Source organism: Homo sapiens, chromosome 1 (genome assembly GCF_000001405.40).
Source record: "Homo sapiens chromosome 1, GRCh38.p14 Primary Assembly".
In the NCBI taxonomy this organism is placed as follows: domain Eukaryota; kingdom Metazoa; phylum Chordata; class Mammalia; order Primates; family Hominidae; genus Homo; species Homo sapiens.
The window spans coordinates 54,886,532-54,905,743 of record NC_000001.11 but is presented as its reverse complement, the minus strand read 5'-3'; the positions used below and the strand labels follow the sequence as shown (position 1 = coordinate 54,905,743).

Sequence of the window (19,212 nt, the reverse complement as noted above, 5' to 3'; positions counted from 1 at the left end):
GCCCATCTCAGCCTCCCAAAGTGCTGGGATTACAGGCGTGAGCCACTGCACCTGGCCCACAACAGTTAATTCTTAAACTTGGGCACGTCACAACTACCTGGAAAACTTGTCAAAACACAGGTTGCTGGGCCCACTTCCAGAATTTTTGCTTCAGCCTGGGATGGGGCCTGAGAATTTGTATCTCTGGCAGGTTCCCATGTTATGCTGATGCTGCTGGCCAACAGCCCATTCTTTGAAAACCACAGCATTAGAGGATAGTAGTTTCTAAATGCAGGGTCCATTTGGTTGGTTCGTGACAATGCTTCCAGAAATTGCAGGAAAGTCAGAAAAAATATGAAATGAAGCAAGCTTTTCATAATGCTAAATGTATTCCATTTGAAGGACTATCCTTTATGCTAAGATTGGGATCTTCCTACTGTTTCTGACATTAAAATTTCCTATCTTCTATGAAAATATGACAAGAGTAGGTGGTGATTCTTTTGTTGGTTGTTTCTTAGTGTCTTTATGTGCCACAATAACAAGTTGGCAGCTCTATGGTGGGCCTTGATTTTTTTTAATTCTTTTTTGGGCCATGAACTCCTAAAATCTAGAAAACACTGCTTCTTAAAGCTCTCCCAAAGTCAAACAGATTCTCAGGTGTCTTTTAAAAAAGCATTATACACTTACTTTTTTTTTTTTTTTGGCCTGGCTGGGTGCTTCTCTGAACATATTTTTTTGATTGACATTTTTACTGATACTTCAAGTGATCATTATCTGCACCTACTGCTATAAAGAGCTGTCAAACTCATGGTCATGCCCTCCAGGAGGCTACTTAAGAAAGAGGACTGTGTGTCCCTCATTAAACCCCCATGCTGCTTTTCTGTTGGGTGCACAGCCATCCTGCTGCCTCTGCAGTTTTCTCTCACCCCCATTAGCATCTCTGCTCCTGCGTCAGCTTCCTCCTTACCCATGCCCCAAGAATGTCATGCCACTGAGCTTATTAAATCAGTGCTTTCATTCCATACATTCATTTAAGTCAATAGTCTGTGACTTTTGGATAGTTTATCCCTGCCAAGAAATGTGGGCATAGGCTTAGTAAATGATCAAAGACATTTGCTCCTTTCTGTTAGGAAATGGTAATGACAGATATTCATGGAGAATTAACACATGCCAGAACTTATCTGGAGTGGCTGAATAACTTGCTCAAGGATAATGGAGAGAAGAGCAGGGACTCTAGCTGGGACTGTCTGAATGAAATGGGTACGGCTAACTTTCACCTGGTTTCATTGTTGTTTTCAACAGTAAGCTACTGTTAGTCTGACCACTAAGTGGAAATATTTTTGTATATTATGCTTACTCACTAATTTTTTTTTAATGTTCTCACTTTGTGAGAAGAAACTGAAATAATTCTTACTCAAGAATTGGTGCCAAGGGCATGGCTCACACATATAATCCCAGCAGTTTGGGAGGCCAAGGTGGGAAGATTGCTTAAGGACAGGAGTTTGAGAGTAGACTGGGGCAGCATAGCCTGACCCCATCTGTACAAAAAATAAATAAATTAGCCGGGTGTGGTGGTGCACACCTGCAGTCCTAGCTACTCCGGAGGCTGAGATGAGAGGATCACTTGAGCCCAGGAGTTTCAGGCTGCAAATAAGCTATGATCGTGCCACTGCACTTCAGCTTGGGCGATGGTGAAATATCCTGTCTTGAAAAAAAAAAGGATCAAACTAAGGACCAGTTGACTTCAGGACACTGGCCTGTGTTGGGCACTGGGCACACAGAGATTGGGGGACAGTCCTTGCCCTCAAGGAGCTGTCCTGCCAAATGGAACCAGCTGTAAGAGAAAAAAAGCAGGGTGGGGGTATGGAAGAGAGGAGGAGGAGGCTGCTATTTTTGTTAAAAAACTTTCACTCTTCTTTGGTCTGTTGGACTACATGCTTGTATCCTATATTTAAGTTGAACAAAGCTGAGACCCATTCTGGCCATCAGTGCCTGATTTGTGACATCTTTCCTAAGAAGTCCAGTGTCCAGCACCTGGTTCCACCACTTACTCTCCTTGGACCAGCTCCCTAATTTCTCTGAACACTGATATATGGGGGGCATGTCCACTTGGTAGAGATGTGTTAAGATTTATATTGAGATGATGGGTGTGTCAAGCCTGGTGCACAACAGGTGCTCAATGTCAGGCCTCTGAGCCCAAGCGAAGCCATCATATCCCCTGTGACCTGCACATACACTCCCAGATGGCCGGTTCCTGCCTTAACTGATGACATTCCACCACAAAAGAAGTGAAAATGGCCTGTTCCTGCCTTAACTGATGACATTGTCTTGTGAAATTCCTTCTCCTGGCTCATCCCGGCTCAAAAGCTCCCCCACTGAGTACCTTGTGACCCCCATTCCTGCCTGCCAGAGAACCCCCTTTTTTCCTTTACCTACCCAAATCCTATAAAATGGCCCCAACCTTATCCCCTTTTGCTGACTTTCTTTTTGGACTCAGCCCACCTGCACCCAGGTGAAATAAACAGCTTTATTGCTCACACAGAGCCTGTTTGGTGGTCTCTTCACATGGACACACATGAAATTTGGTGCCGTGACTCAGACCGGGGGACCTCCCTTGGGAGATCAATCCCTGTCCTCCTGTTCTTTGCTCCATGAGAAAGATCCACCTATGACCTCAGGTCCTCAGACCCACCAGCCCAAGGAACATCTCACCAATTTTAAATCCGGTAAGCGGCCTCTTCTTACTCTCTTCTCCAACCTCTCTCACTATCCCTCAACCACTTTCTCCTTTCCACTCTTCCATCTCTCCCTTCTCTTAATTTCAATTCCTTTCATTTTCTGATAGAGACAAAGGAGACCTGTTTTATCCGTGGACCCAAAACTCCAGCACCAGTCACGGACTGGGAAGGCAGCCTTCCCTTGGTGTTTAATCATTGCAGGGACACCTCTCTGATTATTCACCCACGTTTCAGAGGTGTCAGACCATGCAGGGACACCTGCCTTGGTCCTTCACCCTTAGTGGCAAGTCCCGCTTTTCTGGGGGAGGGGCAAGTACCCCAACCCCTTCTCTCCATGTCTCTACTCCTTCTCCACCTTTCTGGGGGGCAAGAAACCCCCAACCCCTTCTCCTTCACCCTTAGTGGCAAGTCCTGCTTTTCTAGGGGAGGGGCAAGTAGCCCAACCTCGTATCTCTGTGCCCCGAACCCTTATTTCCACGCCCCAACACCTTATATCTCTGTGCCCCAATCCCTTATTTCTGTGCCCCAACCTCTTATACCTCTGCGCCCCAATCCCTTATTTCCATGCCCCTATCTTGTATCTCTGTGCCCCTACCCCTTTCCCACTTTTCTGGAGGGTAAGAACCCCCGAACCCCTTCCCTCCGTGTCTCTACTCTCTTCTCTGGGCTTGCCTCCTTCACTATGGGCAACCTTCCACCTTCCATTCCTCCTTCTCCCTCAGCCTATGTTCTTAAGAACTTAAATCCTCTTCAACTCTCACCTGACCTAAAATCCAAGTGTCTTATTTTCTTCTGTAATGCCGCTTGACCCCAATACAAACTCGACAGTAGTTCCAAATAGCCAGAAAATGGCACTTTCAATTTTTCCATCCTACAAGATCTAAATAATTCTTGTCGTAAAATAGGCAAATGGTCTGAGGTGCCTGACAGCCAGGCATTCTTTTACACATCAGTCCCTCTCTAGTCTCTGTTCCCAATGCAGCTTATCCCAAATCTTCCTTCTTTCTCTCCCACCTGCCCCCTCAGTCCCAACCCCAAGCGCCTCTGAGTCTTCCTAATCTTCCTTTTCTACAGACCCATCTGACCTCTCCCCTCCTCCCCAGGCTGCTCCTTGCCAGGCCAAGCTAGGTCCCAATTCTTCCTCAGCCTCTGCTCCTCCACCCTATAATCCTTTTATCACCTCTCCTCCTCACACCTGGTCTGGCTTACAGTTTTGTTCCGTGACTAGCCCTCCCCCACCTGCCCAGCAATTTACTCTTAAAAAGGTGGCTGAAGCTAAAGGCATAGTCAAGATTAATGCTCCTTTTTCTTTATCAGACCTCTCCCAAATCAGTGAGCATTTAGGCTCTTTCATCAAATATGAAAAACCCAGCCCAGTTCATGACTTGTTTGGCAGCAACCCTGAGACGCTTTACAGCCTAGACCCTAAAAGGTCAAAAGGCCATCTTATTCTCAATATACACTTTATTGCCCAATCTGCTCCCGACATTAAATAAAACTCCAAAAATTAAATTCCGGCCCTCAAACCCCACAACAGGATTTAATTAACCTCGCCTTCAAGGTGTACAATAATAGAAAACAGTTGCAATTCCTTGCCTCCACTGTGAGACAAACCCCAGTCACATCTCCAGCACACAAGAACTTCCAAACGCCTGAACCGCAGTGGCCAGGTGTTCCTCCAGAACCTCCTCCCCCAGGAGCTTGCTACAAGTGCCAGAAATCTGGCCACCAGGCCAAAGAATGCCTGCAGCCCAGGTTTCCTCCTAAGCCACATCCCATCTGTGCGGGACCCCACTGGAAATCAGACTGTCCAACTCACCTGGCAGCCACTCCCAGAGCCCCTGGAACTCTGGCCCAAGGCTCTCTGACTCCTTCCCAGATCTTCTTGGCTTAGCGGCTGAAGACTGACGCTGCCCGATTGCCTTGCAAGCCCCCTCGACCATCACGGACGCTGAGCTTCGGGTAACTCTCACAGTGGAGGGTAAGTCCGTCTCCTTCTTAATCAATACAGAGGCTACTCACTCTACATTACCTTATTTTCAAGGGCCTGTTTCTCTTGCTTCCATAACTGTTGTGCGTATTGACGGCCAGGCTTCTAAACCTCTTAAAACTCCCCAGCTCTGGTGCCAACTTAGACAATACTCCTTTATGCACTCCCTTTTAGTTATCCCCACCTGCCCAGTTCCCTTATTAGGCCGAGACACTTTAAATTATCTGCTTCCCTGACTATTCCTGGATTACAGCTGCATCTCATTGCTGCCCTTCTTCCCAATCCAAAGCCTCCTTTGCGTTCTCCTCTTGTATCCCCCCACCTTAACCCACAAGTATAAGATACCTCTACTCCCTCCTTGGCAACCGATCATGCACCCCTTACCATCTCATTAAAACCTAATCACCCTTACCCAGCTCAATGCCAATATCCCATCCCACAGCATGCTTTGAAAGGATTAAAGCCTGTTATCACTCACCTGCTACAGCATTGCCTTTTAAAGCCTATAAACTCTCCTTATGATTCCCCCATTTTACCTGTCCTAAAACCAGACAAGACTTACAGGTTAGTTCAGGATCTATGCCTTATCAACCAAATTGTTTTGCCTATCCACCCTGTGGTGCCAAACCCATATACTCTCCTATCCTCAATACCTCCCTCCACAACCCATTATTCTGTTCTGGATCTCAAACATGCTTTCTTTACTATTCCTTTGCACCTTTCATCCCAGCCTCTCTTTGCTTTCACTTAGACTGACCCTGACACCCATTAGGCTCAGCAAATTACCTAGGCTGTACTGCCTCAAGGCTTCACAGACAGCCCCCATTACTTCAGTCAAGCCCAAATTTCATCCTCATCTGTTACCTCTCTCGGCATAAGTCTCATAAAAACACACGTGCTCTCCCTGCTGATCGTGTCTGATTAATCTCCCAAACCTCAATCCCTTTCAAAACAACAACTCCTTTCCTTCCTAGGCATGGTTAGTGGGGTCAGAATTCTTACACAAAAGCCAGGACCGCCCCCTGTAGCCTTTCTGTCCAAACAAATTGACCTTACTGTTTTAGCTTAGCCCTTATGTCTTCATGCAGCGGCTGCCACTGCTTTAATACTTTTAGAGGCCCTAAAAATCACGAACTATGCTCAACTCACTCTCTACATGTCTCATAACTTCCAAAATCTATTTTCTTCCTCATACCTGATTCATATACTTTCTGCTCCCCCGCTCCTTCAGCTGTACTCACTTTTTGTTAACTCCCACAATTATCATTGTTCCTGGCCCAGACCTCAATCTGGCCTCCCACATTATTCCTGATACCACACCTGACCCCCATGACTGTATCTCTCTGATCCACCTGACATTCACCCCATTTCCCCATATTTCCTTCTTTCCTGTTCCTCACCCTGATCATGCTTGATTTATTGATGGCAGTTCCACCAGGCCTAATCGCCACACACCAGCAAAGGCAGGCTATGCTATAGTACAAGCCACAAGCCTGCCTCTTAAAACCTCTCATTTTCTTTCCATCATGGAAATCTATCCTCAAGGAAATAACCTCTCAGTGTTCCATCTGCTATTCTACTACTCCTCAGGGATTATTCAGGCCCCCTCCCTTCCCTACACATCAAGCTCGAAGATTTGCCCCCACCCAGGACTGGCAAATTAGCTTTACTCAACATGCCCCGAGTCAGATAACTAAAATACCTCTTAGTCTAGGTAGACACTTTCACTGGATAAGTAGAGGCCTTTCCTACAGGGTCTGAGAAGGCCACCGCAGTCATTTCTTCCCTTCTGTCAGACATAATTCCTCAGGTTAGCCTTCCTACCTCTATACAGTCTGATAACAGACCAGCCTTTATTAGTCAAATCAGCCAAGCATTTTTTCAGGTTCTTAGTATTCAGTGAAACCTTTATATCCCTTACAGTCCTCAGTCTTCAAGAAAAGTAGAATGGACTAAAGGTCTTTTAAAAACACACGTCACCAAGCTCAGTCACCAACTTACAAAGGACTGGACAATACTTCTACCACTTTCCCTTCTCAGAAGTCATACCTGTCCTCAGAATGCTACAAGGCAGAGCCCATTTGAGCTCCAGTATAGACACTCCTTTTTATTAGGCCCCAGTCTCATTCCAGACACCAGACCAACTTAGACTGTGCCCCCAAAAAACTTGTCATCCCTACTGTCTTCTCTCTAGTCATACTTCTATTGACTGTTTTCAACTACTCATACATGCCCTGCTCTTGTTTACAATGCCGGTTTACACTCTTTCTCCAAGCCATCACAGCTGATATCTCCTAGTGCTATCCCCAAACTGCCACTCTTAACTCTTGAAATAAATAAATAATCTTTGCTGACAGGACTATGCTGAATCTCCTTAGGCACTCTCTAATCAGATGTCCTGAGTCGTCCCAATTCTTAGACCTTTCATACCTGTTTTTCTCCTTCTCTTATTCCATTTAGTTTTTCAATTCATACAAAACTGTATCCAGGCCATCACCAATAATTCTAAATGACAAATGTTCCTTCTAACAACCCCACAATATCACCCCTTACCACAAAATCTTCCTTCAGCTTAATCTCTCCCACTCTAGGTTCCCACGCCGCCCCTAATCCCGCTCAAAGCAGCCCTGAGAAACATCGCCCATTATCTCTCCATACCGTCCCTCAAAATTTTTGCCATCCCAACACTTTACCACTGTTTCATTTTATTTTTCTTATTAATATAAGAAGACAGGAATGTCAGGCCTCTGAGCCCAAGCGAAGCCATCATATCCCCTGTGACCTGCACATACACATCCAGATGGCTGGTTCCTGCCTTAACTGATGACATTCCACCACAAGAGAAGTGAAAATGGCCTGTTTCTGCTTTAACTGATGACATTGTCTTGTCCTTCTCCTGGCTAATCCTGGCTCAAAAGCTCCCCCACTGAGTACCTTGTGACCCCCACTCCTGCCCGCCAGAGAACAACCCCCCATTTTCCTTTACCTATCCAAATCCTATAAAACAGCCCCACACTTATCTCCTTTCACTGACTCTCTTTTCGGACTCGGCCCACCTGCACCCAGGTGAAATAAACAGCTTTATTGCTCACACAAAGCCTATTTGGTGGTCTCTTCACACAGACGTGCATGAAACTCAATACCTGTTATTATTGAGTCAGAAGATTTTCCCTCCTTTTAAGTACTTACTCAGTATTGGACAGCTTGGGAAGTATAATATTTAGCACATTCTACTTTTTACTGTTGTATTTAATCACATTATTGTATTATATTTAAATGTAAAGCATTTAGAACTGTGCTTGTATTAGTTAGGGTTCAATAGAGAAACAGAACCAATAGGATAGATGGATGAATGGATGGATACATAGACAGACGACAGACAGAGATAGATAGATAGACAGACAGATAGATAGATAGATAGATAGATAGATAGATAGATAGATAGATAAAAGGAGATTTATTATGGGAATTGGCTCATGCAATTATGGAGGCTGAGAAGTCCCATGGTATGCTGTCCACAAGATGGAGAACCAGGGAACAGTGGCTTCGCTCATTCCAAGTTCAAGTCTGAAGGCCTGAGAACCAGGGAAGCTGATAGTGTAACTCTTAGGCCAAAACCAAAGGCTCAAGGACCTCAGGGGGCCACAGTAAGTTTCCCAATCTGAAAGCCGAAGAACCTGAATTTCTGAGGACCTAGAGTAAAAGAAGATAGGTATCCTAGCTCCAGAAGAGAGAGCAAAGTCATCTTTCCTCTGCCTTTTTGTTTTATCTGGGACCTCAACCAATTGGGTGGTGCCCACCCATACCGAGGATCTTCCTTGCTCGGTCTACTGATTCAAATGCTAGTTCTCTTCTGCTTTATCGGCGATCTGGGTATTCCCTAACCCAGTCAAGTTGACACTAAAATTAATCATCACAGTGCCTGACAAATAAGACATGCTCAATAAATATGACCTGTTACCACTACTGTGATTGGCATTGCTTTTTCTGCATACACATCTTACCTACTAAATTAAGATCCATGGGACAGAAGTCCTGCTGAATATACTCATATTTCCTCTCAATCTATGCCTAGCAGTGCTAGACACATAATAGTCACTTGATGAACATTTATGGAAAGGATTATTGCCTATCTTATACCATTATGACATGTATGTGATATGCCCAGCATTTTTAGTGAAGGTTGTATTTTTCGTACAGTTTGTTAGTGCTTCATACTGCCTGCTTTATAGCTAGCTGTTTTCATATCTTCCCCATTGGTCCATGACTGTCCTTTTGGCAAGGACTGAGTCTCTGTCATTTAAGACCCAGCTCAGTTTATTATCTGTCATTGAAACTGCATATACAGAAAAGTATTTACATGAAATTAATGGTACTTCAGCTTCAGAGCTACTCACTTGATAGATCATCTCCTGAAGCCCTGGTTAATGAGTATACTCAATTCAGAAAGCAGAGATTGTTCACTACATGAGAAAATTTGAAATGCTTTGAAACCTTACAGCTCATAATTAAAAGAAACTTAATAGCTGGACGCGGTGGCTCACGCCTGTAATCCCAATACATCGGGAGGCCGAGACAGGCAGATCACCTGAGGTCAGGAGTTCAAGACCAGCCTGGCCAACAAGTGAAACTCCATCTCTACTAAAAATACAGAAATTAACCAGGCGTGATGGCAGGCACCTGTAATCCCATCTACTCGGGAGGCTGAAGCAGGAGAATCGCTTGAACCCGGGAGGCAGAGGTTGCAGTGAACCAAGATCTTGCCACTGCACTCCAGCCTGAGTGACAGAGTGAGACTTCATCTCAAAAAAAAAAAAAAAAAAGAAACTTAATAGAGCCTTTACCAAATTTGACAACAATCAAAGTGTATTATAGTATTAACAATAGCTATTTATATACCTAAAACTGTTCCAAACTATCAATAATAAAAAAATAAATTTTAATCAACCATGTTGGAAGGTCTGGATTATCATTTTATTCTCTCTATATAAAATGCAAAAAAATTGTTGTCACATGAAGAAATGATAAAAGAGAATGTAGCCCCAAAATGTAGGGGGGAAAAGTATTAGAGAAGTGTATCTGGCAGTTTAATTAAAATATAACATTATTTTACTAGATTTTGTGATATGTGTGATTTAATTCACTTTTTTTTCTTTTTCTTTTTTTTTTGAGATGGAGTCTCGCTTTGTCTCCCAGGCTGGAGTGCAGTGGCTCAATCTCAGCTCACTGCAAGCTCCACCTCCTGGGTTCACGCCATTCTTCTGCCTCGGCCTCCCAAGTAGCTGGGACTACAGGCGCCCACCACCACGCCTGGCTAATTTTTTGTACTTTTTAGTAGAGACAGGGTTTCACGGTGTTAGCCAGGATGGTCTCGATCTCCTGACCTCATGATCCACCCGCCTCGGCCTCCCAAAGTGCTGGGATTACAGGCATGAGCTACTGTGACCGGGCCTTCACTTTTTTTTTTTTTTGAGATGGAGTCTCGCTCTGTCATCCAGACTGGAGTGCCTGTCCAAGGATCACATTCTGAGCCGTCAGGCCCTGGACTTCATGAAGTCCTTGCTTTACCAGTCTATGTTTCTCTACTGTGTAACTTGAGAAGAATTTCACTGGTGATTTCTCGTTCTGTCTGTCTTCCCCTTACACCGGTGGTTCTCAACCAGGGAAGAGTTTACCTCCTAGGGGACATGTGGCAATGTCTGGAGGCATTTCTGGTTGTCACAACTCGGTGGAGGGTGCTAGTGGCATCTAGCTACTACTAAACAATCTGCAATACCTAAGACATCCCCACAGCAATAATTATCTGACCAAAAATGTCAATAATATTGAGGTTGACAAGCCTTGCTTCATGAGGGTTGGGCATAGAACATCTCATTTCGGCCAGGTGCGATGGCTCATGCCTGTAATCCCAGCACTTTGGGAGGCTGAGGCGGGCAGATCACGAGGTCAGGAGATCAAGACCATCCTGGCCAACATGGTGAAACCCAGTCTCTACTAAAAAAAATACAAAAATTAGCTGGGTGTGGTGGTGTGCACCTGTAATCCCAGCTACTCAGGAGGCTGAGGCAGAAGAATGGCTTGAACCCGGGAGGCAGAGATCCAGCCTGGCAACAGAGCAAGACTCTGTCTCAAAAAAAAAAGAACATCTCATTTTCTGTTTTATGTCCAGCGTCTGGCAGCATGCCTGGCTTATAGTAAAGCATAGCCACAGGTCCCTAAGCATGCTGTCCTCCATTCTCCATCCCAATTGTAAAACTTTCCATGTTCTATACCTTTCCATCCATGATGGCAGCTGGAAGTTATGAAATAAACCCCTGATATCATAAAGTTCCACCCAGAAGAAAATTAAAACCAATAAATAACAGGGGATACAAGCTAATACGAAGGAACATTATGACTACTCTGAAGATGTTTAATACTCAATGATTTACTGATTGCTTTCTTAAATGAATGAGTGTTGACTCAAGAACATTGGTCAGAAAGTTTGTCACTGACCTGACCACAAAGAAGGTTGTAGTCACAAAGGAACAGCAAGAACTGCTCTTGAGAATGATCATAAAGGGTGAAAACACTCTGGCCTGCCACAGCACCAAGGATAGAAATGGTAATGACACTGATTTCTGCTGACTGCCTTTGGATCACTATGACTGGTCAGTCTGGGACATTCACTTGTTTTTCTTATCTAGAAAGCCCTGAGAACTAAACATTTTGGCAATCTGGAAAAGGAGACTGGTGGATGAATTTCCTCCATGGTGGGCTGGTCTTAAGCAAACTCCTTTTATGTGTGATATGGGAGATACTGAAAGGCCAGATGGAGCAACCAGCTAAGTATCTAAAATTCCTACCATTTAAACAACAAAGAGATCATTGTTTTATAATTCATTTATAATTGTCTGTTGATTTATCATGGTGATATAAAGGTGGAGACATTGGGGGCCGGGCGTGGTGGCTCACGCCTGTAATCCCAGCACTTTGGGAGGCCGAGGTGGGTGGATCATGAGGTCTGGAGATCAAGACCATCCTGGCTAACACGGTGAAACCCTATCTCTACTAAAAATACAAAAAAATTAGCTGGGTGTGATGGCGGGTGCCTGTAGTCCCAGCTACTCGGGAGGCTGAGGCAGGAGAATGGCTTAAACCCAGGAGGCAGAGCTTGCAGTGAGCCGAGATCGAGCCACTGCACTCCAGCCTGGGCAACAGAGCGAGACTCCATCTCAAAAAAAAAAAAAAAAAAAAAAAGGTGGAGACATTGTTATTCTTATATCCTGTGGGTAGCATGTTTAGAGAGTGATTTTGCAATAGGTTGTGTTGTTTGTTTTTTTGTAGAGATGGGGTCTTGCTATGTTGCCCAGGCTGGTCTCAAAACATGAGCTCAAGCTATCCTCCTACCTCAGCCTCCCAAAATGCTGGGATTATAGGTGTGAGCCATCATGCCTGGCTTAGGTTTTAAAATATAAATTTATTTTAAGAAAATTTTATAAGTTTTGTAACAGTTGTCAGCATCAAAATGGAGTCACTAATGTCAAGAAAACCCTGATAAATAGAGCTGGGAAGGCCGTGAAAAGAGGGTTATCATGTATGCCCGATAACAGAAAAAGACTACGAAAACCACAACCTTGGACTAAAGGCCATCACAAGCTTACATAAAAAATGCTTCTGCAAGGACATCTGCCCAGAAACTTCCTGTGTACTCTCGGTAAGGCATAACCCTTGTTACTTATCTTTGCAGCCAAGGATAATTATTTCAAAACAATTGTGTAATCCTCCTTATTTTTTCCTTTAAAAATCTTTGTCTTCCTTTACCTCCCTGAAAATGTACATAGCTTAGCATGGCACATGTATTCCCATCACAATGTTTTATTCCCAAATATATTTCTTTTAGAGAGCCTCTCGTTGTTATTTAGGTTGACAGTTTGAAAATGTGAATAATAAGGGAAATTCACTGAAACTTTGCTCATCATAACAAAAGTTTAAAAACACTTAAATGTCTTTCAATAATAGACTTTTTGAATAAATTAAGCTACACACATATAGGTGTGCACACACCTAAACACATACACCTGAATACACACATTGGAATACAAAGAAACCATATGTCTATTGTATATTGTTAAGTTTTTTAAAAACAAATTGTAAAGCTCCTGTAGAGTTGCTCTTATTTTATTAAATACTATACATACGTGTATATGGGCCTAGAGATATGTCTAAAAGGAATGTCATGAAAATGTGAACTTCAGTCATCTGCATGATGGAATGAGTCAATTTTTAGTTTCCTCTCTGTACTTCCCTGTATAGTTTGAATTGTTTAGAAAAGCATATGCCATGTTTACAGAAGCAATACAATGATTTTTACATAAAATATAATGTTATAGCTGTTATTAATCTCCTTTCAAGAAAATATTATTGCTTCAAAGACAGCCATGCTAATAAGGGCTAATTTGTCAGATTGATTCATTGACATCTTGGGAAGAAGACATCAGCAACCCAAAGGGAAAGGATACAGGAGACGTACTCTGTGGCTTTGCTATGCATACCCTGAAGATGTCCAGCTATCATTTCTTTTCACCAGACCAGATGACCTCTAATTCATCTTCCCTCCCACTCTAACCCCAAGACTGATTCTAAACCTACATTCTCTGCCATGCTGGTAAACATCCTTGTCATCCAAGCAAAATGCCCGGAAATCATCTTTGACTCCTTTTCTTTTTTCCTACCTTCTCCTTCAATCTGTCTCCAACTATTCATCTACTTTCCATTTCTACTGATACTGCCTTAGCTTTGTAACCTCATCAGTTCTCACCTGGATTTTTGTCGGCATCCTACCTGGCCTCACTCCTGCTCACCACTGATTTGTCTCCCTTCCTGCAGTCAGAGCAATTATCCTAAATATTGTGAGAATGGTGGCACTCTCTCTTCAAAAATCTCCCAGTAGTTCTCTATTGTTTGTACTGTACAGGATAAACTTTCAGTTCCCCTAAATATCACATCCACTCACCTGCTTCTGAGCTTTTTGGGCATGGCATCCCTCTTCTGGAATGCTCTTATTCCTTAGACCCAATACTTCACCTGGCTAACTTCCACTTATCCTGTGGTATCTCTGCTTAGTCATCACTTCCTCTCAGAAGCCCTTCGGGACTGCATATATCTATCTACCTATCAATGGATTGATTGATAGATAGATATCTTCATGTGCTTCCATAATACCCTTATCATAGTACTTATGATGTTGATTTATAATTAATTCTTGATTGCCTAGATCCACACATGATCTGTCAGGAAAAGAATTGTGTCTAATTCACTACTGTGTCCCCAGCATTTTGCACAATTCCCGCACATTTAAAATCATTGAATGAATGTGCTGCAGAAATGGTTAATTTCCATCTGAAATTGGTTCCCCTTATTTTGCTAGATGTTGCTGTATATGATGTAGCACCTGGAACATGGCTGCTCTGCCCTCATCAGGGGAGTTAACCTGAGAAGACAGAGTAGGCAAAAGATAAAAAGAACTGGGTCTTTCAAATTGTCACTGAACCAATGAATTAACCAACTCTTGGTCAATCTGCATTCGGACTTCTTTTTTGTTTTGGACAGGGTCAGTCTATCACCCAGGCTGGAGTACAGTGGTGCTATCCATAGATCACTGCAGCCTCAACCTTCCGGATTCAAACGATTCTCCTGCCTCAGCCTCCCAAGTAGCTGGGATTATAGGTATGCACCACCATGCCAGGCTAATTTTTGGATTTTCAGTAGAGACGGGGTTTCACCATGTTGGCCAGGCTGGTCTCGAACTCCTGACCTCAAGTGACCCACCTCCCCCAGGCCTCCCAAAGTGCTGGGATTACAGGCATGAGCCACCAACCTTGGCCTGTTAGGGCTTTACTTTAAAACAAAGAAAACAAAGGTAATACTATATATATTTTTTTTTTTCTTTTTTCTTTTTTGAGACAGAGTCTTGCTCTGCTGCCCAGGCTGGAGTGCAGTGGCATGATCTCAGCTCATTGCAAGCTCTGCCTCCTGGGTTCACGCCATTCTCCTGTCTCAGCCTCCTGAGTAGCTGGGACTACAGGCACCCGCCACCACACCCAGCTAATTTTTTGTATTTTTAGTAGAGATGGGGTTTCACCACATTAGCCAGGATGGTCTTGATCTCCTGACCTTGTGATCTTCCCGCCTCAGCCTCCCAAAGTGCTGGGATTACAGGCGTGAGCCACCGCACCTGGCCAAACAAAGGTAATATTCTTAAAGAAGTTCCAGGATTAATACTCAGTCCAATCTCCTAAATTTTAGCATGCATAAGAATAACGTAGCTGACTTCTTAAAAAGTAGATTTCTGGCCCCACTTCTGGAGATTTAGCTTCAGTGGGATATGGTAGAGTCTAGGACTCTGCATTTTAGCAAGCATTCTGATGTAGTTGGTCTACAAACCACACTTCAACAAACCCTGTTCTAAAACTTCTACTTCATATCTATGGAACGGAACCACATGAATGGCTCCCAACTTCTGGATCTTTCCATCATTTGAATCTGCTCCCTTGATTATTGTGTGAAGTGTAGTTTGCAGACCAACTGCATTAGAATTCTCTATTCACCAGAATAAGACATTGATCAGGTAAGTCACTTAACCTGAGTCTAAATGTCCCCATTTATTTAAAAAAAAATACATATTAATTCCCTGCATTGCCACTCCTGAGACTGGTTGCAAAGATCAAATGATCTCAGTAGCTGCACTGTACAAATATAAGAAAATGCAATTTGTTAGGACTCTGGTATTTATCATGCTCCTTTACTGAAGAAAAAAAAAACTGTTCTTTACACTCTATTTATTAAGAAAGAAATAGAGGCTCACATTGTAGAAAGATTGCTACGTGGTCAAACTATAAAAGGGGTTTACCTAGTTAACCTGAAAAGTTCTTGCCCAGAACATCCTATTCCTAAGCATTCTGACTGTCTGCATGCTCCATCAACTCTGTAAGTAATGTATAATATGAATAGATTCCCTGACAAAGGAAGCTGCTTTGACTCCAGCAAAAATTAGTAGGTCCAAGGTTATATATCATATGATTCCATTCATATGACCTTCTGGAAAAAAAACAAAACTATAGTGACAGAACAGGGCAATGATTGCCAGGGGCTAGGAGGTAGGGGAGAGTATGACTACAAAGGGGCAGCAGAGGGAGTTTTTTGGGGTGGTGGAACTATTCTGTATCCTCATTGTGGTAGTAGTTACAGGAATCCTCATCATGCTAAAATTCATCAGCTGTACAAAGATTAAGCAGTTTTACTATATGTTAACTTAAAAAATTAATTAATTGATTGGCTCAACTCAAGTGACTGCTTTCCTTACCTGGATAAAAGCAACCCAAAGGATTAGAGTTTGGGGAGACAGAAAAGAAGAATCAGAAATATGAGGAGGGTAGGCAGGAAGAGAGAATGAGAAACGTGCACACTGAATAAACAATTGTTCTGAGTACTTTTTCACTTTTTTGTTGTTGAGACAGCCTGTTGCTAACACTAGTATGCAGTGGCGTGATCATGGCTCACTGCAGCCTTGACCTCCCAGGCTCAAGTGATCGGTCCTCCCACCTCAACCTCCTGAGTAGTTGAGACTACAAGTGCATGCCACAATGCCCAGCTTTTTTTTTTATTCTTTTTTTTTTTTTTTTAGAGACAGGGTCTTGCTATGTTGCCCAGGCTTGTCTTGAATTCTTGGGCTCAAGCAATCTGCCCCTCTTGGCCTCTCAAAGTGCTGAGATTACAGGCATGAACCACCACACCCAGCCTGAGTACTTTTTTATTCCTTTCCTTTTTTGGGAGTTGTTTCCTAAAGATCAGTTGTATCTACTTTCTGGGACTCCATCCTTCTCTTCCCAAGTATAAAACTATTCTGATTAACCAGTAATTTCCACTGTTTCTCCTACACAACACTCTTCAGTTAATTTTTAGGTAAATTTTACTTTCCAGATTACCTCACACCCCCAAAATAATCAGAATGGTTAAGCTTCTAAAGCAAAGCCCTCTTTAACAGAGTCAGACAGAATCGGGGAGAGGCATTTTTCACATTGGCTTTCCTCTTCATACTTCACTGTCCCCCTGTTGGTTGGAGCTTCTAGAGATGTAATACAAGACAAATCTGTAATTTTAAATTTTCTAGTAGCCACCTTAAAAAAGTAAATAAAACAGGTGAAATTAATTCTAATACTATATTTTACTTAATATATCAAAATGTTATTTCAACATGTCATTAACATAAAAATTACTAATGAGCTATTTTGCATTTTTTCTTTGTACTAAGTCTTTGAAATCCAGTGTGTGTTTTACTCTTAAAGGGCATTTCAGTTTGGACTAGCCACATACCAGTAGCTCATAGCTGTTGTGTAAGACAGTACAGGTCCAGGCTATTTATTTTTGAAGTCCAGTGCAAACAACCTCTCATTCTTTGCACTTTGATAACTTGAATATTTGAGCCTACAATCTTCATTCATTCATTGGTCAACAGCCGCTGGAGTGTTTACTGTGCACAAAGCACCGTGCTAGAAGCTGGAAGGACAAAAGTGAACAAGACATTGTTTGCCCTAAGGCTCAGTCTGTGGGGGTGAGAGACACATAAAGAGACAATTATAAAATAACATGAAAGAACGGTGACAGAGATGCACACTATTTAATGAGCATCTGGATGGGCAGGGGAGTGCTCTAAATGTTTCAGAGGTGGCCCTGAGCTGGCTTCGGAATGTGTGAGGTGAACTCTGAGAAGGGGATGGGAAAGGGCATTCAGAGGTACTAGCTTGACCAGAGGCGCGCAAATGAGGAATGCTGAGGCCCAGGGAGCCTCCTGAGTGCATGTCAGGGCAGAGATGAATGGAGAGGGAACTGGATAGGTATGCAAGGCCAGACAGAGAAGAACCTGGTATGTCATGTTTAGCTTCTAAACTAAAACATCTCGAAAACTTCCTAAAATTCCATATGAAATGCAAATGGCGCTGGATTTCAGCTTTTGCTGGTAACCGTGGCAGCTCCCCTACACTGGTTGCTGAGTGAGGGCAGGGCCATCTGCTTTGCTCACCACCCTACCCGAGGCTTGCAACACTGCCTGGCACAGAGCGGGCCTGGGGAGTTTACTCGGGCTGAAATGCCTTCCTTCATTCTTTCTCCTCCGGGCCTCCCATCTGCCTCAGTGAACTGGAAAAAGAGGAAGAGTGCCAGCCATAGCCTTCCATGCTTCCAATGGCCTCTGGAGTTCACGAACAGGTCTTCACCTTTCTGGGCTGCTTCCAAGTGTACACAATGGAGCTCACCACTCCCCACTGCCCAGGACTGCTGTGTAGCTCAAATGAATTCGTGGAAAGTGCCCCCTAAAAATGAAAAGATGCCTCTGGAGACCTTGCGCACACCGAGTGGCACGACCTGCAGAGGTTACCGCCAGGTTTCCATCCTCCGCGCCCGGGAACCGCCTGTCCGGCCAAAGGGTGACTGACTCAGGGCCGGGGCGCCTCCCAGCCCTCCGGCGGAAAGCCACTGCAAAACCGCTTAAGGCGCGTTTGGAAGAGGCGGCCCCGCAGCCCCGAGGGCCTGGGGCCCTGAGTCCCAACTGCCCACCCCCAGTATTCGCAGCGGACCCCACCGGCACCCAGTCCCTGGCACCCCCGCCTCGCGCGGCGGCGGGGAGAAAAGGGTGGAGCGGTCCGACTCCCGCAGCCAATGAAAGCTGCGGGTTCCTGGTCCGATCCCCGGCGCGGCTCGCCATTGGTCGCCGCCCGGGTCTCGGCCCACCGAACCTCGGCGACCCGAGCCAATCGCGAGGCGGCGGGCGATCCCGGGCTCCCCGGGCTGTGGGCTACAGGCGCAGAGCGGGCCAGGCGCGGAGCTGGCGGCAGTGACAGGAGGCGCGAACCCGCAGCGCTTACCGCGCGGCGCCGCACCATGGAGCCCGCCGTGTCGCTGGCCGTGTGCGCGCTGCTCTTCCTGCTGTGGGTGCGCCTGAAGGGGCTGGAGTTCGTGCTCATCCACCAGCGCTGGGTGTTCGTGTGCCTCTTCCTCCTGCCGCTCTCGCTTATCTTCGATATCTACTACTACGTGCGCGCCTGGGTGGTGTTCAAGCTCAGCAGCGCTCCGCGCCTGCACGAGCAGCGCGTGCGGGACATCCAGAAGCAGGTGAGCGGCGCCGGGTGCGGCCGGGACTCAGGGCCGGAGGCGGCGTGCGCGGGGATAGCGGGACGCGAGGTGGCGACGGGAGCTGCGGTGCGGGGGCGGCCAGGACTTCCTGGGGGGGTGGGGAGCTGGCGTTGGAGAGGGGTTGGAACGAAACAAAAATGTGATGGGGGCGGGGGAACAGAACAGGCAAAGTGCCCACTGTGTGCAGGGCATATGCGGGTACCTGGAGGGAGATGAAGAAGGGGAAGAGGGGGAGGTGCGAAGCACTCAGGTAACTCTCACCCGGCCCAAGCATTTCAGAGAAGGAAAGGCTTCCGGGAGGTGGAGCTGGGTCTAGAGATTGGGAAGTATGGGAAA

The 19,212-nt window shown here is 44.9% G+C and overlaps 1 protein-coding gene and 2 long non-coding RNA genes across 5 annotated transcripts in view, besides 4 other annotated features; 1 reads left to right on the top strand and 2 right to left on the bottom strand.

Annotated features, from left to right (window-relative positions):
* LOC124904184 (uncharacterized) overlaps positions 1 to 4,579 on the bottom strand; it is a 72,878-nt gene extending 68,299 nt beyond the window's left edge. For all 3 annotated transcript variants that reach the window (XR_007066103.1, XR_007066101.1, XR_007066102.1), the window contains exon 1: positions 4,537 to 4,579. This is a non-coding gene — a long non-coding RNA (uncharacterized LOC124904184). The remainder of the gene's footprint in view (positions 1 to 4,536) is intronic.
* Positions 2,015 to 2,572: an enhancer, noted in NCBI's record as "NANOG hESC enhancer chr1:55368845-55369402 (GRCh37/hg19 assembly coordinates)". NCBI's record gives its function as "activates a minimal SCP1, AML or CMV promoter by ChIP-STARR-seq in primed H9 embryonic stem cells {active_cell/tissue: H9 hESC(primed)}" and the evidence as "EXISTENCE:reporter gene assay evidence [ECO:0000049][PMID:30033119]".
* On the bottom strand, positions 15,475 to 18,233 carry DHCR24-DT (DHCR24 divergent transcript). Its single transcript, XR_001738059.3, has 2 exons — positions 17,062 to 18,233; positions 15,475 to 16,865 (listed from the first exon to the last, which is right to left on the bottom strand). It is a non-coding gene; the product is annotated as a DHCR24 divergent transcript (long non-coding RNA).
* Positions 18,106 to 18,575: a silencer, noted in NCBI's record as "silent region_926". NCBI's record gives its function as "represses an Ori minimal core promoter by ATAC-STARR-seq in GM12878 lymphoblastoid cells {active_cell/tissue: GM12878}" and the evidence as "EXISTENCE:reporter gene assay evidence [ECO:0000049][PMID:35858748]".
* Positions 18,106 to 19,022: a biological region, named in NCBI's record as "H3K27ac hESC enhancer GRCh37_chr1:55352395-55352896".
* Positions 18,521 to 19,022: an enhancer, noted in NCBI's record as "H3K27ac hESC enhancer chr1:55352395-55352896 (GRCh37/hg19 assembly coordinates)". NCBI's record gives its function as "activates a minimal SCP1, AML or CMV promoter by ChIP-STARR-seq in naive H9 embryonic stem cells {active_cell/tissue: H9 hESC(naive)}" and the evidence as "EXISTENCE:reporter gene assay evidence [ECO:0000049][PMID:30033119]".
* The window catches only part of DHCR24 (24-dehydrocholesterol reductase), a 37,569-nt gene continuing 36,905 nt past the window's right edge, over positions 18,549 to 19,212 (top strand). Inside the window, exon 1 of the mRNA NM_014762.4 lies at positions 18,549 to 18,855. Coding sequence (NP_055577.1) covers positions 18,625 to 18,855 — 231 coding nt within the window. The 5' untranslated portion in view covers positions 18,549 to 18,624. The remainder of the gene's footprint in view (positions 18,856 to 19,212) is intronic.